This window comes from Homo sapiens, chromosome 13 (genome assembly GCF_000001405.40).
Source record: "Homo sapiens chromosome 13, GRCh38.p14 Primary Assembly".
Lineage (NCBI taxonomy): Eukaryota > Metazoa > Chordata > Mammalia > Primates > Hominidae > Homo > Homo sapiens.
The window spans coordinates 49553502-49576898 of NC_000013.11; the positions used below are offsets into that span (position 1 = coordinate 49553502).

Here is a 23397-nt window from a genome sequence, read left to right on the forward strand (position 1 = left end):
AGAGTGAGAGGAGGCCCATCTGCTGAAAGTAACAGAGCTAGGCATAGGTTTGACAGGAGTGTTAAAGGTTCCAAATAGCCATAGGAAAAAGTACTGACCAGGAACAAATAAAGGCCTTGCTCAAATTACAAACCCAAGATTTGTGGTGGCATCGAGCCCCACAGCAATGTAGGGCGGCAGACATAGACTGGGGCTTTTCAGGGTAACATGATGGAGCGGAAAGGGGGAATGGACTTTAAGGGCCTGGGGAGAGATGGTTAAAGGCACTTTCACCCAGTGCCAGAAGTGTAACAGACATGAACTTTCTGGAGAGAAATTTGGCAATGGCTATCAGTATTTCAAATGGCATACTTCTTGACCCAGAAATTCTTTGGAAATTTATTCTATAGAAATACTTGTATAAGTGTACAAAGATACACATACACAGAGTAACATAGAAAATCACCACAACTCTGTCTATAACAGCAAAAAATTAGAAAACTGACATGTTCATCAGTAGAGCTCTGTATGTGGGTCATTCACAGAAGCCAAAGTCAGCAGCCATAATGATGGAAAGCCGCATAAATGGTCTGATCACAGACACAGATAAACACAGGATGCTATACAGGGGAGCGGGAAGCAGGCTGAAGAATAGCAGAGAAAAGCTGCAGTAGGTATAATCATCCCATTTTTTTAAAAAAAGATAATTATACTCACCCATATATAATTGTTTAAGGGAAAAGTCCAAAAAGATATGCATGAAACTATTAACAAGATTGGGAAAAGGTATTCACTTTTTATTTTATCTGTTTCACTTGTCTTCCTTTACTTTGTTAAAATAACCATATAATAATAACCTAAAAATTAAACTTATTTTTAAAAATAAGAGAAGAATACTGGAATGGAGGATATTCAACGGCCATCCCAAGGAATTCTGAAGTCATTTCATGATACTGAGATTGATTTTTTAAAAAATAAGTTAACATAAGGTCTATGCATAAACTCTAAAGCACCCTAGCACAGGGGTCCCCAGTCCCCAGCTCATGAGCCGCAGGCCGGTACCAGTCCGTGCCCTGTTAGGAACCGGGCCGCACAGCAGGAGGTGAGCAGCGGGCAAGGGAGTATTACTGCCTGAGCGCCACCTCCTGTCAGATCAATGGCAGCATAAGATTCTCACAGGAGCACGAACCCCATTGTGAACTGCACAACAAGGCATCTAGGCTGTGCGCTCCATATGAGAATCTAACTCATGCTTGATGATCTGAGGTGGAACAGTTTCATCCCAAAACCATGCCCCCAACACCGCCATCTGTGGAAAAACTGTCTTCCATGAAACCAGTCCCTGGTGCCAAAAAGGTTGGGGACCACTGCCCAAGCACACCAATGCATGATGCCAAAACATCTGTGTCCAGGGTAATATCTTTGTATAATTTTCATGCACTAAAATATGCATAGGTAGTAAATAGCCTATTTAAGTGGAAGCTGCATCCAGAGACTAATTTCACAGAAATAACCATCAGCTCAAAAGTGACCACAGTAGGGGGTAACTAAAGGGACAGTTGTTAAAAGTAGCTAACAACAGTCAGGACCCCACAAAAAATCTGCTTTTGCAAGTTGCTTCCTCCTGTGAACATTCAAGATATAGGTAGGTAGTTCTACAAGGACTTCATCAGTTAATTTTAAAATGTACAGTTGACATTGTTTCATTGGAAGAGAAAGGTAGGATTAAATTCTTTAATCTATTACATTAAATATCACGAACAAATAGCTATAGGCATTAGGCTCTTTGGATCTTGCAAAAAATACAACTTAGACATATAGAATCTTTACTTTCAGGTAAATCCTGGAATTTAGAAAAGTCATACTGAGGAGCAAAAAACCTCCAGCTCCTCAGTCAGTAATCAGTTAACTTTCAATGGAGCTACCAAAACAAAGCACTCTTCCTTCTTCCATCTGATACATTCACCTTGTGAAGAAACTGACGTGTAATTGAAAAAGAAGGTAGAAAGGGAAATGGGAGTGGAGACACCTCACCTCGCCATTGTCCAGAACAGCCATGGATGAAGTCTGACCACAGGCAATGCCAACTACCCTCTTAATATGTAAACAGTTTGTAACTTTTCGAGGAGTTGGTTGATTTGCTGTAGAACCTGATCCCACTTGGCCACAGTTGTTATAACCCCAAGCAAACACCTACAAGAGAAAGAAAAAGGAAAAGGAAAGAATAGTCAGGGTGAAAATTCTACCCCAACACAAATAATCATAAAAATTAAAATTATCCTACTTAATGAGTACTTAAGATGTGCTAAACGGTTCTATATGCTTTACACACATTAACCTATTTAACCTGCCTAGTAATCCTGCAAAGTGACCCTAGAGTAGGTAGTACCCACTTTATACATCTCCGTTTTATACATGGAAACTGAAACATGAGAGGTTAAGTGACTTGCTTGAGGTACCAAAGCTGGTAAGTAGCGCTAAGAGAATTTAACCCCAAGCAGTCTAGCTATGCTCTTGACCACCATGCTACATTCCCTCTATAATTTGTGTGTGTGTGTATACACACACAACTACACATACACACATACGAATGTGGCATCAATAGGAAATGCGGTATATGCCACATAAGTATTAGTGATGTAAAACATTTGCTCAACTCTTTGGGCATAAATATTCATTGTTTTCCATGGAAACCATTCTTTTTGTTTTGCTTTGGTTTTTTTTTTTTTTTTTTGAGATAGAGTTTCACTCTGTCCCCCAGGCTGGAGTGCAGTGGTGCGATCTCAGCTCACTGCCAGCCCCGCCTCCCGGGTTCATGTCATTCTCCTACCTCCCAAGTAGCTGGGACGACAGGCGCCCGCCACCATGCCCGGCTAATTTTTTGTATTTTTAGTAGAGATGGGGTTTCACCGTGTTAGCCAGGATGGTCTCGATCTCCTGACCACGTGGTCCACCCATCTCGGCCTCCCAAAGTGCTGGGATTACAGGCGTGAGCCACCATGCCCAGCCTCATGGAAACCATTCTAAACAAGACTATAAACAGAGAGATGAATTAGGGAGGGAGGTGTTGGCAGTAGAGGAAATAATTTCCTCCAACATTAGGAAATGTCTAAGCCCCCGCTCCCCACCCTGCTTCACGTGGCTGCAGGAGGTGGTCCACGTATATACTGAGTGTGGCTTCCATGATTCTTGTCTGATGCTGGCCAAGGCAACAACAGTAGAGCCCTCTGGTATATGTGTTACAGGTTCATTTCACAGGTACAAAACAAATAACCTGCAACACCTCCTCAAAGTATATTCACATAAATATCTAGTTTAATTATGCAAATATTAATATTCAGTATAATTATTCAAAGTACCATATGCTTAAGATTAAAATAAATCAGGAACCCAGCCGGCATAAATTAGCAAGTTTGAGCTAATTTCAGCAATCATTCTTCTGGCACTTCTCAAATACATCACATTCCCTTGCAGTGCTGCTGACTCTTGTTTAAAAACTGGGGCTATAGTTCCACTAACCAAGAAATGGACTAGGAAACAGTGGATCTGGGGCATGAGGCCTGTGTGCTATGCCTGGCTCCAGCACATCCCAGTCATGAAATCTTGGTCTCCCTGAGCTTTTGGGTTTGTTCACTTATAAGTTGTCCTACTTAATAAAATCTCTGTAACATCACTGAGGGACTTCAAAGAGAGGAACAGTATGATCTAATCTGTGTTAGAAACCAGAGAGGACAGCAAAGCAAGACTGGACAGACGGATCAACTTAAAAGATAGGGAATAGAAGGGACTATGGCAGTAGTCTAGGCAGGAAATGACAAGACTTGACCAAAGGCAATGGAAATGGAGAGGAACAAAATGGAGGAACAAAAAGGCAAAGGAAATGGAGAGGAAATGGAGATGGTACAAAAGATTAGAAGACAGAATCAATAGGATGAGTGACCTTTAAGATAAGCACAACTTGGGGGCTTAACAAGTGTTACAGTACCTACTAGGAGGATAGTAAAGTTATTTTTTCCAAACTCATTACATATACTGAAAAATAAAATAGACCTTAAGGATGGGGTCACTAAAAAAAAAAGTACAGAACACTGTCACACATCTGAGCTATAGTCTTAGCAAAGAGCATGGGACTCAGCTGCCTTAAAAAATGAACTCTAGGTTGGGTGCGGTAGCTCACACCTATAATCCCAGCATTTTGGGAGGCTGAGACAGGAGGATCGCTTGAGCCCAGGAGTTCAAGACCAGCCTGGGCAACATAGCCAGATTCTTGTCTCTACAAAAAAAAATTTTTTTTTTAAAAGAATGAATTCTACTGCCATCAAAAGTGTAATCTTGATTATACAATACACGTTATGCTAGAGAGAGAGTGCACTCCCACAAGGTTTTTAGCTACATGCACAGGGCTACAATATTCACACCACATCAAGTACAAATATGGTCATTAAAATCAGAGGATTTTCACAATAGCCAAAAGTGGAAAAAATCCAAACATCCATGAACAGATGAATAGACAAACAAAGTGTGGCTTACAGCAGGTCCTTGAAAAACGTCATTTCATTCAACATCATTTTGTTATAACACTAATGAGAAAAAATGTCAATTCCCGGCCAGGGCCACTGTCTGTGGAGTCTGCATGTCCCATGTCTGTGTGGGTTTTCTCTGGGTACTCTGATTTCCTCCCACACCCCAAAGCTGTGCAGACTAGTTTGTGTCTAAGCTGTATACATGTCTCAATGATTCTAGTGAGAGTGAGTGTGGGGGTATACATGAGTGCACCCTGTATCCTGTCCAGGGCTGCTTCCCACCTGGTGTCCTGCGCTGCCAGAAGAGGCTGTGGCCACATGCAACCCTGAACTGGAACAAACGGGTTGGAAAATGAATGAATGAATAAATGAATACAAATTATTAGAAAATAAAAATTCACAAAGTAGGCTTGTCATGGTGGCTATGCCTGTATTCCCAGCACTTTGGGAGGCCGAGGCGGGAGGATCACCTGAGGTCAGGAGTTCGAGACCAGCCTGGCCAACATGGTGAAACCCCGTCTCTACTAAAAATACAAAAAAATTAGCCAGGCATGGTGGCAGGCGCCTGTAATCCCAGCTACTCAGGAGGCTGAGGCAGGAGAATCACTTGTACCCAGGAGGCAGAGGTTGCAGTGGGCCGAGATTGTACCATTGCACTCCAGCCTGGGCAAGAAGGGTGAAACTCTGTCTCCAAAAAAAAAAAAAAAAAAAAAATTCACAAAGTAGACAATAACCATACAAATGCATAACAATAAACAACACAGTCAAACACCCTCAGTGAGCTGTCACATTTGTGATCGTTTGCTTTTGAACTGTGTGGCAGTAGGAGGTGCCCCTTGTAATTTTTGCTTTGCAAACATTTATTCCTTGACTTAACCCACCACCACTATGATCACCCCAACTCAGTGATTCACCATAAATTGGGTAAATAATTCTCTTATTGCTTTTATTAATCTTTGTTAAATATATGTATTAGTTTGCATTTATTTAAATGTTTAAGAAGTGGTTTGGGTCTTCAGAAGTTTGGTGATGTCTTTGTGACCAGAAATATACCATAGGAACTTAACTCTTGTTTTTATCAATTAGCCAATGGTAAAACTGGTTTCATTACATGTCTTTTTGCTTAAAGTTGTAGTTTCCAAGAATCTATCAATGACATTATGTGGGCACTTACTATATGTATCCAATGGAATATTATTCAGCCCTGAAAAGGAATGAAGAGAATCCTATCATATGGTACAAAGTGGATGAACCTTGAGGATATTATGCTAAGTGAGATAAACCAGTTACAAAAGGACAAACATTGTATGATTCCACTTACGTGAGGTACCTAGAGTAATCAAACTCAAAGAAACAGAGTAGAAAGTTGTTGGCTGGGCACGGTGGCTCACGCCTGTAATCCCAGCACTTTTGGAGGCCAAGGCGGGCAGATCACGAGGTCAGGAGATCGAGACCATCCTGGCTAACACGGTGAAACCCTGTCTCTACTAAAAATACAAAAAATTAGGCGGGTGTGGTGGTGGGTGCCTGTAGTCCCAGCTACTTGGGAGGCTGAGGCAGGAAAATGGCGTAAACCCGGGAGGCGGAGCTTGCAGTGAGCAGAGATCGTGCCACTGTACTCCAGCCTGGGCGACAGAGCGAGACTCCATCTCAAAAAAAAAAAAAAAAAGAAAGTTGTTGTCAGGGGCTGGGGGAGGACAGAATGGGAGTGAATGTTTACCAGGGACAGCGTTTCAGTTTTGCAGGATGAAACAGTTCTGTGGGTGCATGCTGGTGACAGTTGTATGACAAGGTGAACATACTTAACACCACTGAACTATACACTTAAAACTGGTGAAGCTGGTAAATTTTATGTTAAGTGTATTTACTATGATGAAAAAAAAAAAGAATAAAGAATAAAAGCAGCATACTTACCTCTCCATCAGCTGCCAGAGCCATTGAATGATGTGAGCCACAAGCTACTTCCACCACTTGCTTGATCAAGAGATTGGTACAGACCTGGACGGGAGCAATGCCTTGGTTGGTCGTCCCATTCCCAAGCTGGCTATATCCATTGTGGCCCCAGGCATAAACCACTCCATCTGTGCACACAAAGCACACAAAAAATCAGCTCCAAAAAGAAATAGTAACCCTGTACTTTCTTCCCCAGAACTTCGTACAGCTCCTTCTCCAACCTTCATTTCTCTCCCATTGCCCCCTCCTCTCTATTAAGTAACCATGGACAGAGTAAAGGAGAGAGAGATGGGTGACAGAACGGGATAGACAGATGCAAAATCTTTAAAGAAAAAACTTGGTAATAACATAGAAAGATCAGTTTTGTGATCAAAAGCAAAGTTTACGTATGCAAGAATTAGGCTTTCTAAAAGCTTTGATTCATCTCAATAGTTTCTGTGTCAGATGCCAAGAAAAAGGCAGATGATAAGAAAGCTCGATGTTAATGTTTACCATTGCTTAACCAAATACCAAGTCACGGGGAACCCACAGGGGGCGTGTGGCTACTCGCTCACCAAGTATAGGGGAAAGAGATAGACTGTTTACAAAGGAAACAAAAGTCTCAGGGCTTCTTTGAAGCAGACTATTTTATTTTAGTGGCATGAAATCTGGCTGAATTTTTTTTTTTTTTTACATAAAGCAACCATTTTTTTACGCTCATTTATTCTGTGTCAGGAATTTGGACAGGGGACAATGAAGATGGCTTGTCTTTGCTTCACAGTGTGTGTGATCTCAGGAAGATTAAAAGGCTGGAGATGACTTGAGAGTTGAGGACTAGCAACACCTGGAGGCATTGTCACTCACACTGCTGTGACTATCTCTGGAAAGCATAATCAGCTTATTCTAACAGATTCAACTCAGGAACAGCCAAATGGGGGAGACACACAGGGTAAGGTATGCGGGGATGAGGGGTGCACGGAGCTCCCATGCCCTCCCTGGCATGCCACCCCCTCCCAGCACCTCGATGTGGTCACCAACCCGGAAGCTCCTCTGTCTGAATTTTTTTTATAATGACTTTATCTTTTCTGAGATTCTGATGAAGACAACTTTTCTTGTGTTATCTCTTGAAGTATCATCGTTTCAGGCATTTCTTTCCACAGCACCCCCGAGTGCCAAGGGCAGGTCTCCCAGAGTTACACATTCTCCTCTTATCTTTCCCATGGTAATAAAACATCCTGACCTATTAAGGACAGTCTGCCTGGCAACAACACTCAAGGGCAACAGCAGAAATCCAAGTATTACAGTTAGGCTGCTGGTCACTCACAGCAGTCCCCAGGCAACCAGGGGAAACAGACTTCTACTTGTCTACTGTAGAACGAAGACAGCCCACACAAACTCAGAGTCCTCTTCCAGGTGACATGTGGCTCACAAGAGCCATTCCCTCCTACAGAAATTATGACAGAAACCATAAATGGGAAATTTCATCCTGAGAAAGATGAGGCTTAAGACTGAAAGAAAGAGTATAAAACACAAAAAGTATGATCCATGATATTGTGTTAAAAGCTACGGCAGGTGAAAGAAATGTCCAAACTAATGAGTGTTTTAACCCCTGAAAACAGAAAAATAGACTTAAATAGAGAAATGCATACCTTGTTCTTAGATGGGAAAATTCAGTATCATAAAGATTCTAGTTTTTCCTACATAAACTTATAAAGTTTAAATAGCAATAAAAGCTTAAAGTTACTTTCTGGAGGTAGACAAATTGATTAGAAAGTTTAATGGGAAGAATAAACAAACAAGAATAAATAGGAAAACCCTACAAAAAAAAAAGCAAGAAGGTAGCTAATTCTACCAGTTACTAAAACCTATAACAAGTTTCTATGAGGCTGGGCTTGCCTGTAATCCCAGCACTTTGGGAGGCCGAGGCAAGTGGATTGCTTGAGGTCAGGAGTTCAAGACCAGACTGGCCAACACAGTGAAACCCCACATCTACTAAAAAAAAAAAAAAAATACAAAAATCAGCCAGGCATGGTAGCGCGCACCTGTAATCCCAGCTACTCAGGAGGCTGAGGCACAAGAATTGCTTGAACCCAGGAGGCGGAGGTTGCAGTGGGCTGAGATTGTGCCTTGCACTCCAGCCTGGGCAAAAAGGACTCTATCTCAAAGAAAAAAAAAAAAAGGTTAATTTTAAAATAACCTGTAATTCTAAATAATCTCAAATAGAAGACGCTGAATCCATGAAACAATAGCAACAAGTTCTGGAAAGAAACATTTAAAGATCAAGAAAGAACACTTGGAAATAAAACAATGGGAATGTTAAAAATTTGACATAAGCGTTGTAAGATAAAGTTGAAGAAATTTCCCAGAACACAGATGGGAGAGAACATTTTTAAAAAATCATGAAGATCAGGCCAGGCATGGTGGCTCACACCTGTAATCCCAGCACTTTTGGAAGCTGAGGTGGGAGGATTGCTTGAGCCCAGGAGGTTACAGGTGTGAACCACCTGCTCACACAGTGAGGCTGCAGTGAGCCAAGATTGCACCACTGCACTCTAGCCTGGACAGAGAGACCCTGTCTCAAAAAAAAAAAAAAAAAAAAATTTGGAAGATCACTCCAGAATCTCTAACTTTCTAAGAAAAATTCCATAAAGGAGAAAACAAAGAAGAAAATTTTTCTTTTTTTGAGATGGGGTCTCACTCTGACCCTCACTCTGTCACAAAGGCTGGAGTGCAGTGGCGCAATCATAGCTCACTGCAACCTCAAACTCCTGGGCTCAACTGATCCTCCTGCCTCAGCCTCCTGAGTAGCTGAGACTACAGGTGCGTGCCACCATCCCCGGCTTTTTTTTTTTTTTTTTTTTTTTTTTTTTTAAGAGACATGGCCTCGCTATGTTGACCAGGCTGGTCTTGAACTCCCGGCCTGGAGCAAACGTCCTGCCTTGGCTTCCCAAAGTGCTGGGATTACAGGCATGAGCCACCACACACAGCCAACAAGGGAAACTATTCATGAAATATTACAAGAAGAAATTTCCAGAAATGACCAATACAATAAATTAAAAATTACACCAGAGTACAGAATCATGATTATGTCACAATACTTAAAAAAATAAAAATAAAAATAAAAAAAAGATCCTTGAAGCTTCCAAAGAGGAAAAAACAGTCACATACAAAATAGCAAAAGTTGCCAGGCATAGTGGCTCACACCTGTAATCCCAACACTTTGGGAGGCCGAGCCACAAGGATCACTTGAGCCCAGGAGTTTGAGACCAGCCTAGGCAACATGGTGAGACCTCATCTCTACAAAAAAATTTAAAAATGAGGTGGGAAGATCGCTTGAGCCCAGGAGGTCAAGGTTGCAATGAGCCATAATCACTCCACTGTACTCCTGCCTGGGTGACAGAGAGAGAGAGACCCTGCCTCAAAAAAAAAAAAAAAAAAAAAAAAAGGCCAGGCACAGTGGCTTATGCTTATAATCCCAGCACTTTGGGAGGCTGAGATGGGTGGATCACCTGAGGTCGGGAGTTCAAGATCAGCCTGGTCAACATGGAGAAACCCTGTCTCTACTAAAAACACAAAAATTAGCCAGGCATGGTAGCATATGCCTCTAATTGTACTTCGGAGGCTGAGGCATGAGAATTGCTTGAACCCAGGAGGCTGATGTTACAGTGAGCTGAGATCGTGCCACTGCACTCCAGCCTAGGCGATAGAGCGAGACTGTCTCAAAAGAAAAAAAAGGAAAGAAAGAACCAGTGTGATGCCAGAAGGCATGATTACGCAAGGCAAAAGTGAGATAATCACCTCATTATGCTCAACTCCAGTTATATTCATACCACATGATGATGCTCAGATTTGGATTTCACAGCTCTCTTGAGAAAGATGCAGAGAACTTGAAGTAGATTCAGTTAGGAGTTACAGGCACTTAGAAGGCTAGATACTAAAACCTGTGACAGCATTCTAGGAAGCTGTGATTCCTCAGTCTAGACAAAGAAAGGCCGGGATGCAAATCATCTCCCAAATGCCACCCTAGACAATTATCCAACAAAAAGCTGAGGACCTCAGAGAAAGAGAGCAAGAGTTAATGTATCTAAAGTATAAAAGGAAGCATTTAAATAGATAATGAATTTTCAGAGAGTGTTGGGTGCCCACAGTACAGATCGATTACACACACATACAAAATGTCCACTCTCCCTTAGTGATCTTGAAGAGGCAGAGTAAAAAAGGACAAGAACCTATCAACCTGCATCCCCGGTTCTTTCAATATGGCAACTACATGAATGCCAGAGAACAGATGAAGATTTCCCGATTCAAGATGCAAGCAATGCACAAAGAAAGGAAAGCCAGGTAGCATCTATGTTTAGAAAAATGTACCGGCCGGGCACAGTGGCTCATGCCTGTAATCCCAGCACTTTGGGAAGCCAAGGTGGGCGGATCACGAGGTCAGGAGTTCCAGACCAACCTGGCCAATATGATGAAACCCAGTCTCTACTAAAAGTACAAAAATTAGCCGGGGCGTGGTGGCACGCGTCTGTGGTCTCAGCTACTCGGGAGGTTGAGGCAGAAGAATCGCTTGAACCCAGGAGATGGAGGTTGAGTGGGCCGAGATCATGCCACTGCACTCCAGCCTGGAGACAGAGCGAGACTCCTTCTCAAAAAAAAAAAAAAAAAAAAAAAAAATGCCGGGCGCGGTGGCTCACGCCTGTAATCCCAGCACTTTGGGAGGCTGAGGTGGGCGGATCACGAGGTCAGGAGATCGAGACCATCCTGGCTAACACGGTGAAACCCCATCTCTACTAAAAATACAAAAAATTAGCCGGGCATGGTGGCGGGCGCCAGTAGTCCCAGCTACTCGGGAGGCTGAGGCAGGAGAATGGCGTGAACCCAGGAGGTGGAGCATGCAGTGAGCCGAGATTGCACCACTGCACTCCAGCCTGGGCGACAGAGAGAGACTCCGTCTCAAAAAAAAAAAGAAAGAAAGAAAAGAAAAACGTACCAAAGGAACCCTGAAAGTTGCATTGCAGAACAAAGACCAGTGAGCTATTAAGGAATAGGATTGCAGCTGTCCCGCTCCCGCTCCCATTCCCACTCCCGCTCCCTCTCCCTCTCTTTCCACGGTCTCCCTCTGATGCCGAGCCGAAGCTGGACTGTACTGCTGCCATCTCGGCTCACTGCAACCTCCCTGCCTGATTCTCCTGCCTCAGCCTGCCGAGTGCCTGCGATTGCAGGGGCGCGCCGCCACACCTGACTGGTTTTCGTATTTTTTTGGTGGAGACGGGGTTTCGCTGTGTTGGCCGGGTTGGTCTCCAGCTCCTAACCGCGAGTGATCTGCCAGCCTCGGCCTCCCGAGGTGCCGAGATTGCAGACGGAGTCTCGTTCACTCAGTGCTCAATGTTGCCCAGGCTGGAGTGCAGTGGTGTGATCTCGGCTAGCTACGACCTCCACCTCCCAGCTGCCTGCCTTGGCCTCCCAAAGTGCCGAGATTGCAGCCTCTGCCCGGCCGCCACCCCGTCTGGGAAGTGAGGAGCGTCTCTGCCTGGCCGCCCATGGTCTGGGATGTGAGGAGCCCCTCTGCCCGGCTGCCCAGTCTGGGAAGTGAGGAGCGCCTCTTCCCGGCCGCCACCCCATCTAGGAAGTGAGGAGCGTCTCTGCCCGGCCGCCCATCGTCTGGGATGTGAGGAGCGCCTCTGCCCAGCCCCGACCCCGTCTGGGAGGTGAGGAGCGTCTCTGCCCGGCCGCCCCGTCTGAGAAGTGAGGAGCCCCTCCACCCGGCAGCCACCCCGTCTGAGAAGTGAGGAGCCCCTCTGCCCGGCCGCCACCCCGTCTGGGAGGTGTACCCAACAGCTCATTGAGAACAGGCCATGATGACGATGGCGGTTTCGTCGAATAGAAAAGGGGGAAATGTGGGGAAAAGATAGAGAAATCAGATTGTTGCTGTGTCTGTGTAGAAAGAAGTAGACATAGGAGACTCCATTTTGTTCTGTACTAAGAAAAATTCTTCTGCCTTGGGATGCTGTTGATCTATGACCTTACCCCCAACCTGGTGCTCTCTGAAACGTGCTGTGTCCACTCAGGGTTAAATGGATTAAGGGCGGTGCAAGATGTGCTTTGTTAAACAGATGCTTGAAGGCAGCATGCTCGTTAAGAGTCATCACCACTCCCTAATCTCAAGTACCCAGGGACACAAACACTGCAGTAGGCCGCAGGGTCCTCTGCCTAGGAAAACCAGAGACCTTTGTTCACTTGTTTATCTGCTGACCTTCCCTCCACTATTGTCCTATGACCCTGCCAAATCCCCCTATGCGAGAAACACCCAAGAATGATCAATAAAAAAATAAAATAAAATAAATAAATAAATAAATAAATAAATAAATAAAAAAGTTGCATTGCAACACAAATCCACTGAAAAATTAGGCTGGAAGGACCATCATTTGCTATATCTAATCATCCACAGCTTTATGGAGGCAGTCGAAAACCTCAGAAGTTTGCCTAATTTGCAAGACATCCTATAGCTTTTCCAGAGTTAGCCCGAAGTGTTTAACTTTCACCTGCTTTATGTACTTCCTCTCAGAAATTAAGAAGCAAACAATCCAAAATCAGTTATCTGGTATAGCCCTATCTCCCCTAAGCTTAGAATTAACCGGTCAATTTCTTACAAACTGAAAAGTTAGATGGGTTCCCTCCTTACCTTCGGTGCTGAGAAGAACATGTGGTCCACTCCCGTAACTGAGGCTTTTAATCTTCTTTCCACATAAGCCTTCTAGCTTTTTGGGTACAAGTGTACTCTGGTTATCTCCAGTTCCTAGACAGTTACTATAGTTCAGTCCAAATACAAAGACCTAGAAAATAGATAGTTTTTTTTCTGAGTCTTTTGACCGAAAGCTGTATTAAAAGCTCCCTTCTCTCCTCTGAAAATAAGACATTTCAACTACAGAGCTCAGGAGGTGAAAAGAGACTGATATGGTTGTTAAGAAAAATTCAACCTCTGTGGACATTGCTTACGTTTCAGAATGTTTGTCTATATTATGAAACTCAGAGTGCTATGGAGTAGACGGGTATTAAATCAAGAAACTGAAAAAAGAGAAACTATCAAAGCCATAGTCTTCCTGAACTTCAGGATCTCTTTATTTATACCCCGCCTTTTCTCCATCTTTGAACTGGACACTTTGAAGACCAATTGCCAAATAAGTCCTAAAACGAAACTAGGTTTCAAGAGACTCTTACCTCATCATTGTCAGTAACGTACAGTGCTTCACTGGCTGAGGTGCCGAAGACACACGCCTTCCGAATAGACGCGATCTCTTGAGGGGAGAGTAGAGTGAAGATGGGCCACTTTCCGACATCCACCATGACTCTGGCTTCAAGCAATTCCTATAAATAAGCCGACATCTCTGCTGGAACAGAAAGGATTCCAGAAAAAAATTAAATAGTCACTGAGCTAACTTTCAAAAAAAAGACCTGTTAATAAATACTAACAAAAGCTGATTCTAGAATAAATGAACTACCTTTGGTTACATGGATCACTCACTTTCCCCCAGCCATGTGTGCAATCCCTCCTCCACCTTCAAACCCCGGACTTTCCTACAAGAGAATAACGTGCAAGAACTAGCTGTTTGTCTTGCCCACTTCCTAGTCAGTGCTTATCTGTTCCACATGTGCTTCCAACTCACCCTCTTCTTAGACCTCTAAAAACAGCCAAAGCAGCAGGTCAAGACCAAGTTCTGGCTCCAGCACCTCCAACAGCACACACAGAGGGCGCCTGCAGCTGGAGCATGCTTAGCCAAAGCCTTGTCCCCACCCACCAGAGATATTCTTCCCACCAGCACCAACTTGGATGACAAGGATCAGCTTCAGCCCCAGGTATCATACCACAAATTCAATGAGGATTAAACGCCGTCAAATCAGGCTATTCATTGTCACTGCATAGCCAGACTACTGGAATAACATTTGGATGTCTTGACAAATGTGTGTGCAGGTGGAGGGGGAGGTATGGGTGAGGACAAGTAAAAGATTTGACAGGGGAGTAATACATGAAAATGGGAAAAAAACTTTGGTTTCAAATGGACAAAAGGGGATAAGAAAGAAAGTCTCCTTATCATCCCTCCCTGACCCTCTCCTCAAAGGCCACCACTGTTCCCAGTGATCTGTAATTCCTTCTGGAAACAGTGCTCATGGAAGCACTACATGTATGCATAGGTGTATGTGTATCTTTAAAAACAGAAGCACAAATGGAAGTTTTTTTTCCCTACTTAACAGTACATCGGGGAAATCATTCTATATTAGCACACATAGACCTGCTACATTTCTTTCCAATGGTACTATGGCATTCCATTACATCGATTTAGCAATTTACCTTATTTTCTACTGAGAGACATTTAAGTCAATTCCAGTCTTTTGCTAGAACAATAGTGCAATTGTTGCCTGCACATTATTGTATTGACATGTCTTGTTTTATACAGAAATTTCTAAAATAAATTCCTAAAAATGAAAATTGCTAGGTCAAAGTCTAATAGCTATTTTACTGTTACTAGCTATTAATATTTCAAACAGTCTTCTATTGAAGTAGTGGCCATATATAAAATCACCATGGATGTAGGATGGCACCTGTTTACACACACCCTTCCCACACAGCGTACTCTCACGGCATTTCAGTTTTGTTTAAACTGGCATTTCCCTGTGATGAGTGGAGTTGGATGTCACTTAAAAAAATAATCAGGCCGGGGGAGGGGGGTGGCTCACACCTGTAATCCCAGCACTTTGGGAGGCCAAGGTGGGCAGATCAGGAGGTCAAGAGATCGAGACCATCCTGACCAACATGGTGAAACCTTATCTCTACTAAAAATACAAAAATTAGCTGGGCATGGTGGTGTGTGCCTGCAGTCCCAGCTACTCAGGAGGCTGAGGCAGGAGAATCACTTGAACCCGGGAGGCGGAGGTTGCAGTGAACTGAGATTGTGCCACTGAACTCCAGCCTGGTGACAGAGCGAGACTCTGTCTCGAAAATAAAAAATAATGATCAGAATAATTGCAACAATAACAACTAACTTACTGGGCACTATGTGCCAAGCACTATTTTTAGAAAATTTATATTTATTCATTCATTTAATCCTCACTTTACCAATAAGGAAATGGAGAAAAAGAGATTTTAAGAAGTGGCAGAGTCGGGATCTGCACCCAGGCAACCTGAAGCCTGAGTCTGAACTCTTCACCTCTCACTCACATTTTAAGAGCCCACTGTCAGCCTTTTGTGCAAAGTGCCTATCTTTTTCTACTGGATCATTGTTCTTTTTCTTGTTCTTGATTTATAAGTATTCTTTGTATGGTAAGATGATCTTAAATGCTTTTAAAAGTTTAAAAATAAAGGCTGGGCGCAGTAGCTCACGCCTGTAATCCTAGCACTATGGGAGCCCAAGCCGGAAGGACTGCTTGAGCCCAGCAGTTTGAGACCAGCCTGGGCAACATGGCGAAACCCCATTTCTACAAAAAATACAAAAAAAAAAGGCCAGGCACGGTAGCTCACTCCTGTAATCCCAGCACTTTGGGAGACCAAGGTGGGTAGATCACTTGAGGTCAAGAGTTCGTGACCAGCCTGGCAAACATAGTGAAACCCCATCTTTACTGAAAATACAAAAAAAATTAGCCTGGCGGTAGTGGCGCATGCCTGTAATCCCAGCTACTTGGGAGGCTGAGGCAGGAGAATCACTTGAGCCCGGGAGGCAGAGGTGGCTGTGAGCCGAGACTGCATCACTGCACTCCTTGTCTGGGTGGCAGAGTGAGAGACCCTGTCTCAAAAAAAAAAAAGAAAGAAAGAAAGAAAAAGAAAAATTATTAGCCAGGCATGGTGGCGCATGCCTGCAGTCTCAGTTACTCAGGAGGCTGAGGTGAGAGGATTGCTTGAACCCAGGAAGTCAAGGCTGCAGTTGAGCCGAGATCACAACGCTGCACTCTAACCTGGGTGACAGAGGGAGACCCTGTCTCAAAAAGATTAATAAAATAAACAAAAAGGAACAAGATGCCCCTCAAACGACCTCTTGTGCCTCTTACAAAACAGATGGAGAAAGGAGTCATAAGAAGTCAAGCCATATAAAGCCATACAAGCAGGTAAGTAAATTTCAAGAAAATCCAGAAGCAGGTTTTCCTGGAATTATGAACCATATCAAGTTAGCCTTCAAAATGTTTAATTTTACATGACACAGAATTAGCCAAAAATATGACTCACCACCTTTAAAATTACAACACAAAAGGTAAGACATTCAAAACCACACAACTTCCTGACAGCAGCACAATTATTCTAAAATCATTAAACAAATATGGGCAACTCTGCCCTAAGGGTTTGGTAATCTACTGCAAGATCAAGCTAACCTTCATAATGATGGGGCATTATTATACGCACTGACTTCACCCAGTGCTAAATCACATGAAGCTTTATTTTACAAGGTATTTCTCCAAAGACTTGTCATTTAAGAGTCAATTCAAGAAATAGGTCATGTATCTTACATGTCCATACCCATCATAAAAGAAAAAGGCATCCCCAACAGGCTTGGTAGGGTGGTAACAACAGAGTGCTGAGGCCTGTGTCCCAGGTTTGCTTTTAAAATCAGTCAGTATGACAGCTGTTTGCTGTTTTGAGCCTGGGTTTCCCCCAAACCTAGAAATTTGTCATTTTATGTTCAAGATATAATGAAGAAGCTGGGGGATTTCTTGAACAGATAAGAACAACAGAGGCAGTAATATTGGCCAAGCAAGTAATTATCCCTAGCAAGACAATCAAGCAAAGCTAACAGCAGGAAAGAAGAAACGAATAACTATCCTGAACCTGCCTTGTCGTAGACACTGTTAATTAGGTAGCTTCCATACATTATTTCATTTAATCTTCGTAATACTCTTGTGAGGAGGAGACTGTAAACCATTTCTGACAGATGAGGACTGAGGCTCAAAGGTGAAATGACGCCAAGGTCACACAGCAGACCCCTCTAATTTTTCTTATGGAGAATATCAGTCCTGGCCCTTGAAGGGCTGAACTTCCTCAACAACTTCAGTGAACTTCCTAAAGTCACTTCTTTCTGACTTTATCTTGCCTTGTAAATGTACAGCAGCATCTGTCTTTAAACTGTTACCAATATAAAAAGTATCCAGGCCGGGCGGGGTAGCTCACACCTGTAATCCCAGCACTTTGAGAGGCCGAGGCGGGCGGACCACCTGAGGTGGGGAGTTCGAGACCAGCCTGACCAACATGGAGAAACCCTGTCTCTACTAAAAATACAAAATTAACCAAGCATGGTGGCACATGCCTGTAATCCCAGCTACTCAAGAGGCTGAGGCAGGAGAATCGCTTGAACCTGGGAGGTGGAGGTTGCAGTGAACCGAGATTGCACCACTGCACCCCAGCCTGGGGAAGAAGAGCGAAACCCCATCTCAAAAAAAAAAGAAGTATCCACTCTCCCAATAAAAAGCATTCCGCAAAATGCTTCTGCCTAGATTTGCCTGGTTAAACCTCATGAATGTCATTTATTCCTGCACTTTTGCATCAACCATTGAGAGGCAGGCCTAGAGAACACATGTGACCTCTGTCCTCGGAGCTCACAACATACAAGGTGCATCCTTGGGCTGGAGACTGCTAAGGCACAAAGTGTGTCTTCATTAGACCATGCATGCTCAACCTGGGCAGCTGAGAACATGAACTGGCATCCTTGGAATTCAGACAAGGTTCCCTGAGAGGTTTTGTGGGGCTATGTGCCAGGCAGAACAACAGAACAGGGTCCTTAACTTGGGCGCGTGGCATTTCCCTCCTAAGGCAGCAGAGCGTAACTGTAAATACCACCAAAACTTTCTAATTTACTCAAAATTACCACCATCCTCATTATAATTTGACTATTGTGGTGAGGTCTTTAATTATTCCATTTTCCTGGAGGCAGTGGCACCTTTTACTACTGTTAAGAAAACCACATTAAGGATCATAATTATATCAACCTTAAGAAGAATTAATGTGTATACACTATCAATCCAATAAACTAAAGCAGGTGCAATCTAAAAATTAATGAGTATTTCATCTGTGATAAAATCTACGTCAGACTTAAGAACTGTGCGGTTAACAATGACTCAAAAATACAGGATCTGCCAGGTGCAGTGGCTCACACTTGTAATTCCAGCACTTTGGGAGGTAGAGGCAGGCAGATCACTTGAGTCCAGAAGTTTGAGACCAGCCTAGATGACATGGTGAAACCCTGCCTCTACAAAAAATACAGAAATTATCCAGGAGTAGTGGCATGCACCTGGTGTCCCAGCTACTTGGGAGGCTGAGGTGGAAGGATCGTTTGAACCTGGGAGGTGGAGGTTGCAGTGAGCCGAGATCATGCCACTGCACTCCAGCCTAGGCGACAGAGCGAGACTCTGTCTCAGAAAAAAAAAAAAAAATGCAGGATCCATTGCAAGGAACAGCAACATTATTTAGGACAGCTCTGATATCATGACATCTATTAAATTTGCCTAAACATGAAAGAAAAGTATTAACAGACTTATTCTAACTATGGATTTCATTTCAAAGGAATATAAATGTAGTTCAACTAAATTTCATTTAAATAATCATTCCAGGCTGGGCACGGTGGCTGACACCTGTAATCCCAGCACTTTTGGGAGGCTGAGGCAGGCAGATCAGTTGAGGTCAGGAGTTTGAGACCAGACTGGCCAACATGGCAAAACCCTGTCTCCACTAAAAATACAAAAATTACCCCGGGTGTGGTGGCGCACGCTGGTAATCTCAGCTACTCAGGAGGCTGAGGTGGGAGGATCATCTGAGCCCAGGAGGCAGAGGTTGCAGTGAGCCAAGACTATGCAACTGTCCTGAGTGATAAGAGTGAGACTCTGTCTCAAAATAATAGTAATAATAATAATCACTCCAGAGGGTTGCACAATAATTTAGATGCTTCAAATAGGAAGATATGAAGTGATTCTATTTGTGTTCTATTCCTGTATGAAGGAGGCACTGCTAATGGAAAGAACCTTCAACTGGCCTATTCAGCCCAGGCCTTCCCTGACAGTCAAGTACCTTGGTAAGTACCCTGAGCAAGGTAGCCCAACTCTCTTCCTTCCCATGGTGCTATGGTTTGTCCAAATTATAAGCACCCCCCAAGGAAGCATCCCAACAGAAGCTGCCACCCAAACACGTCATACAGCTAAACTATGTGCACATCCCAAATTCAAAACAAAACCACAAAAATAAATGTACCCTGTAAGACTTAGTTAGCTTAGCTATGTTATAAAACAATATGTCCTGTATGATTACAATTTTTCTAAAGTATAATATATACAGAAATGTATACACCAAAATATATCTCCATGGAGAGATTACAGGTGGCATCATTTTCTTTCTTTGTATTTTTATTCTATTTTTTGGCCTGCCATCCCCACTTCTTTAGTTTGTTCGTTTGTTTGTTTTCGTCAGCAGGGTTGTGGCCAGAAAACAAGTCCTATCAGTCTCCTACCTCACTTCCCCTTTAGAAATTAGATACAATTCCTCATCTTTTTTTTTTTTTTTTTGAGATGGAGTTTCGCTCTTGTTGCCCAAGCTGGAGTGCTGTGGCACGATCTTGGCTCACTGCAATCTCCGCCTCCTGGGTTCAAGCAATTCTCCTGCCTCAGCCTCCCAAGTAGCTGGGATTACAGGCGCCCACCATCACGCCCGGCTAATTTTGCATTTTTTTAGTAGAGACGGGGTTTCACCATGTTTGCCAGGCTGGTCTCAAACTCCCGACCTCAAGTGATCCACCTACCTCGGCCTCCCAAAGTGCTGGGATTACAGGCGTGAGCCACCGCACCTGGCCTTCTTTGTATTTTTAAAATATAGTCCCAAATTTCTCTCTTTTTTTTTTTTTTGAGACAGAGCCTCGCTCTGTTGTCCAGTCTGGAGTACACTGGCACCATCTTGGCTCACTGCAAACTCCCCCTCATCAGTTCAAGCAATTCTTGTGCCTCAGCCTCCCGAGTAGCTGGAATTACAGGTGTACACCACCATGCCTAGCTAATCTTTGTATTTTTAGTAGAGAAGGGGTTTCACCATGTTGGCCAGGCTGGTCTCAAACTCCTGACCTCAAGTGATCCACCCACCTGGGCCTCCCAAAGTGCTGGGATTACAGGCGTGAGCCACCACACCTGGCCTTCTTTGTATTTTTAAAATATAGTCCCAAATTTCTTTTTTTGGGGGTGGGGGGTGGACAGAGTCTCACTCTGTTGCCCAGTCTGGAGTACACTGGCACCATCTTGGCTCACTGCAACCTCCACCTCCCCAGTTCAAGCAATTCTTGTGCCTCAGCCTTCTGAGTGGCTGAGATTACAGGTGTGCACCACCACGCCTGGCTAATTTTTGTATTTTTAGTAGAGACGGGGTTTCACCATGTTAGCCAGGCTGGTCTCAAACTCCTGACCTCAGGTGATCTGCCCACCTCAGCCTCCCAAAGTGCTGGGATTAGAGGCGTGAGCCACCATGCTCGGCCAGTCCCAAATTTCTATAACAAACACTTTGTGACCAATAAAATGAACAAATATTTCCAATGAAAATAAAAGTTCAATTATTTGAATTATGTTTTACCCCTAGGCTGTTAGAAGTTTTAAGATGTATTCTTGCTTTAGATTCATAACGTAGAGTGGCAGAATGTTTCAGGCAAAATCTGGAAAAATGAATTATTAATATAAAATTAAATGTAGATGGTAGAAATGTAAGATGATACAGCTGCTATAGAAAACCAGATGGTGATTCCTTAAAAAAAAAAAAAAACATTAGAATTATATTATCTAGATAAACTCCATTTCTAGCATATACCCCAAAGAACTGAAAGCAGAGACTTGAACAGATAGTTGTATACCAACGGTCAAAGCAGCATTATTCACAATAGCCAAAATGTGAAAATAATCCAAATATCCATGAACAGATGAATGGATAAACAAAATGTGGTCTACACATACGATAGAATATTATTCACCCTTAGGAGGAAATTCTGATACATACAACAACAGGGATGAACCCTGAAGACATTATGCTAATAAGTTAGACAAATATTGCATGATTCCACTTACATGAGGTACCTAGAACAGTCAAATTCATGGAGACAAAGTAGAATTGTGGGTGCCAGGAGCTGGGGGGAGGTAGGAATGGGGAGTTACTGTTTAATGGGTACAGAGTTTCACTTTGGGGTGATGAAAAAGTTCTAGGCAACAAATATGTGAAAAAATATTCAACATCACTAATCATCAGAGAAATCCAAATCAAAACCACAATGAGATACTATCTCACACCAGTCAGAATGGCCATTATCAAAAAGTCAAAAACAAAAGATATTGGCGAGGCTGTACAGCAGAGGCAACACTATACACTGTTAGTGGGAATGTAAATTAGTTCAGCCACTGTGGAAAGCAGTTTGGAGATTTCTCAAAGAACTTAAAACAGAACTACCATTCAACCCAGGAATCCCAAGACTGGGTATACATCCAAAGGAAAATAAATTGTTCTACCAAAAAAAAAAAAAATGCACCTGTATGTTCATCACAGCACTATTCACAATAGCAAAGACATGGAATCAACCTAGGTGCCCGTTGACAGTAGATTGGAAAAAGAAAATGTGGTATATATACACCATGGAATACTACATGGCCATAAAGAAGAACAAAATCATGGATGCAGCTACAGGCCATTATCCTATGTGAATTAACACAGGAACAGAAAACCAAATACCACATGTTGTCACTTAGAAATGGGAACTAAATATAGGGTACACGTGGATATAAAGACAGGAACAACAGACACTGGAGACTACTACAGGGGCAGGGAGGGAGGGGTACACAGGCTAAAAAACTACCTATTGGATACTATGCTCACTACCTGGGTGACGGAATTATTCGTACTCCAAAGCTCAGCATCACACGCTATACCCATGTAACAAACCTGCATATGTACTCCCTGAATCTAAAATAAAAGTTGAAATTGGGTCAGGTGTGGTGGCTCACGCCTGTAATCCCAGCATTCTGGGAGGCCAAGACGAGCAGATCACAAGGTCAGAGATCGAGACCATCCTGGCTAACACGGTGAAACCTCGTCTCTACTAAAAATACGAAAAAATTAGCCGGGTGTGGTGGCGGGCACCAGTAGTCCCAGCTACTCGGGAGGCTGAGGAAGGAGAATGGCATGAACCTGGGAGGCGGAGCTTGCAGTGAGCCAAGATTGCACCACTGCACTCCAGCCTGGGCGACAGGCGTCGCAAAAAAAAAAAAAAAAAAAAAAAAAAAAAGTTGAGATGATTTTTTTTAAGTAGTCTAGAGATTGATGGTGGTGATGATTGTACAACAATGTGAATGTACATAATGTGACTAAAATGTGTAATTAAAAATCATTAAAATGGTAAATTTTACACTATATACCTTTTACCCCAATTTTTTAAAATCAAATAATCATCCTGTGGGCTTTTATCAAGACTGCATTAATAAACTCAAAGATACATTTCTAAAATTAAATATAGAAAGGTTTCAGTCCTAAAAAATGTGTTTGGAAAAGTAAAATCATACTGTTTTAATCATGTCTTGAGAATATAAGTTCAGATTAGGGAAATTCTCAACGGAGCATTTATAAAAGAAATATAGCCTTCTTAGAATTTTCCAGTGCATACAGCAATTTAAACCAGACCAAACAAATTGCTAAGATGACAGGTCCTTCCAGGGCTTGTCATCTTGATAATTATAAAAATGATGAGCTGTAATTAGAATGTCAGTCATCTTTAAATAGTTACTTCTGAAGTACCTCACTAAGATAGTAATTTTTTTGCAAGCCTTCCATGTTTTATTTAGGAAATACTTTCTGAAAAACAATATTAATGTGTTGCAGCCTGAATTACCACTCTTTATGAGTTATTATTAGGTGAATCAATGACTTTTTTTTTTAACTGTATAAAGATAAAACAAGGGTGCAAGGAAAGAAAAGAGGAAC

General features: G+C 42.9%; 1 protein-coding gene across 15 annotated transcripts in view, besides 1 other annotated feature; it reads right to left on the reverse strand.

Annotated features, from left to right (window-relative positions):
* The window catches only part of RCBTB1 (RCC1 and BTB domain containing protein 1), a 53613-nt gene that overhangs the window by 21556 nt on the left and 8660 nt on the right, over window positions 1–23397 (reverse strand). For 9 of the 15 annotated variants that reach the window (NR_148015.2, NR_148016.2, NM_001352501.2 and 6 more), the window contains 4 exons: window positions 13653–13819; window positions 13117–13267; window positions 6417–6583; window positions 2014–2172 (listed from right to left, as the gene is read on the reverse strand). Coding sequence is in view for 13 of the 15 variants with exons in the window: in NM_001352501.2 (NP_001339430.1) it covers window positions 2014–2172; window positions 6417–6583; window positions 13117–13267; window positions 13653–13778 (603 nt within the window). In the remaining 2 variants the exon portion in view is untranslated. Of the gene's footprint in view, window positions 1–2013; window positions 2173–4784; window positions 4834–5676; window positions 5707–6416; window positions 6584–13116; window positions 13268–13652; window positions 13823–23397 lie in introns of those variants that run through there. The other 6 variants (NM_001352502.2, XM_011535134.2, NM_001352500.2 and 3 more) reach the window with 3 other exon arrangements.
* Window positions 12036–12843: an enhancer, noted in NCBI's record as "NANOG-H3K27ac-H3K4me1 hESC enhancer chr13:50139673-50140480 (GRCh37/hg19 assembly coordinates)". NCBI's record gives its function as "activates a minimal SCP1, AML or CMV promoter by ChIP-STARR-seq in naive H9 embryonic stem cells {active_cell/tissue: H9 hESC(naive)}" and the evidence as "EXISTENCE:reporter gene assay evidence [ECO:0000049][PMID:30033119]".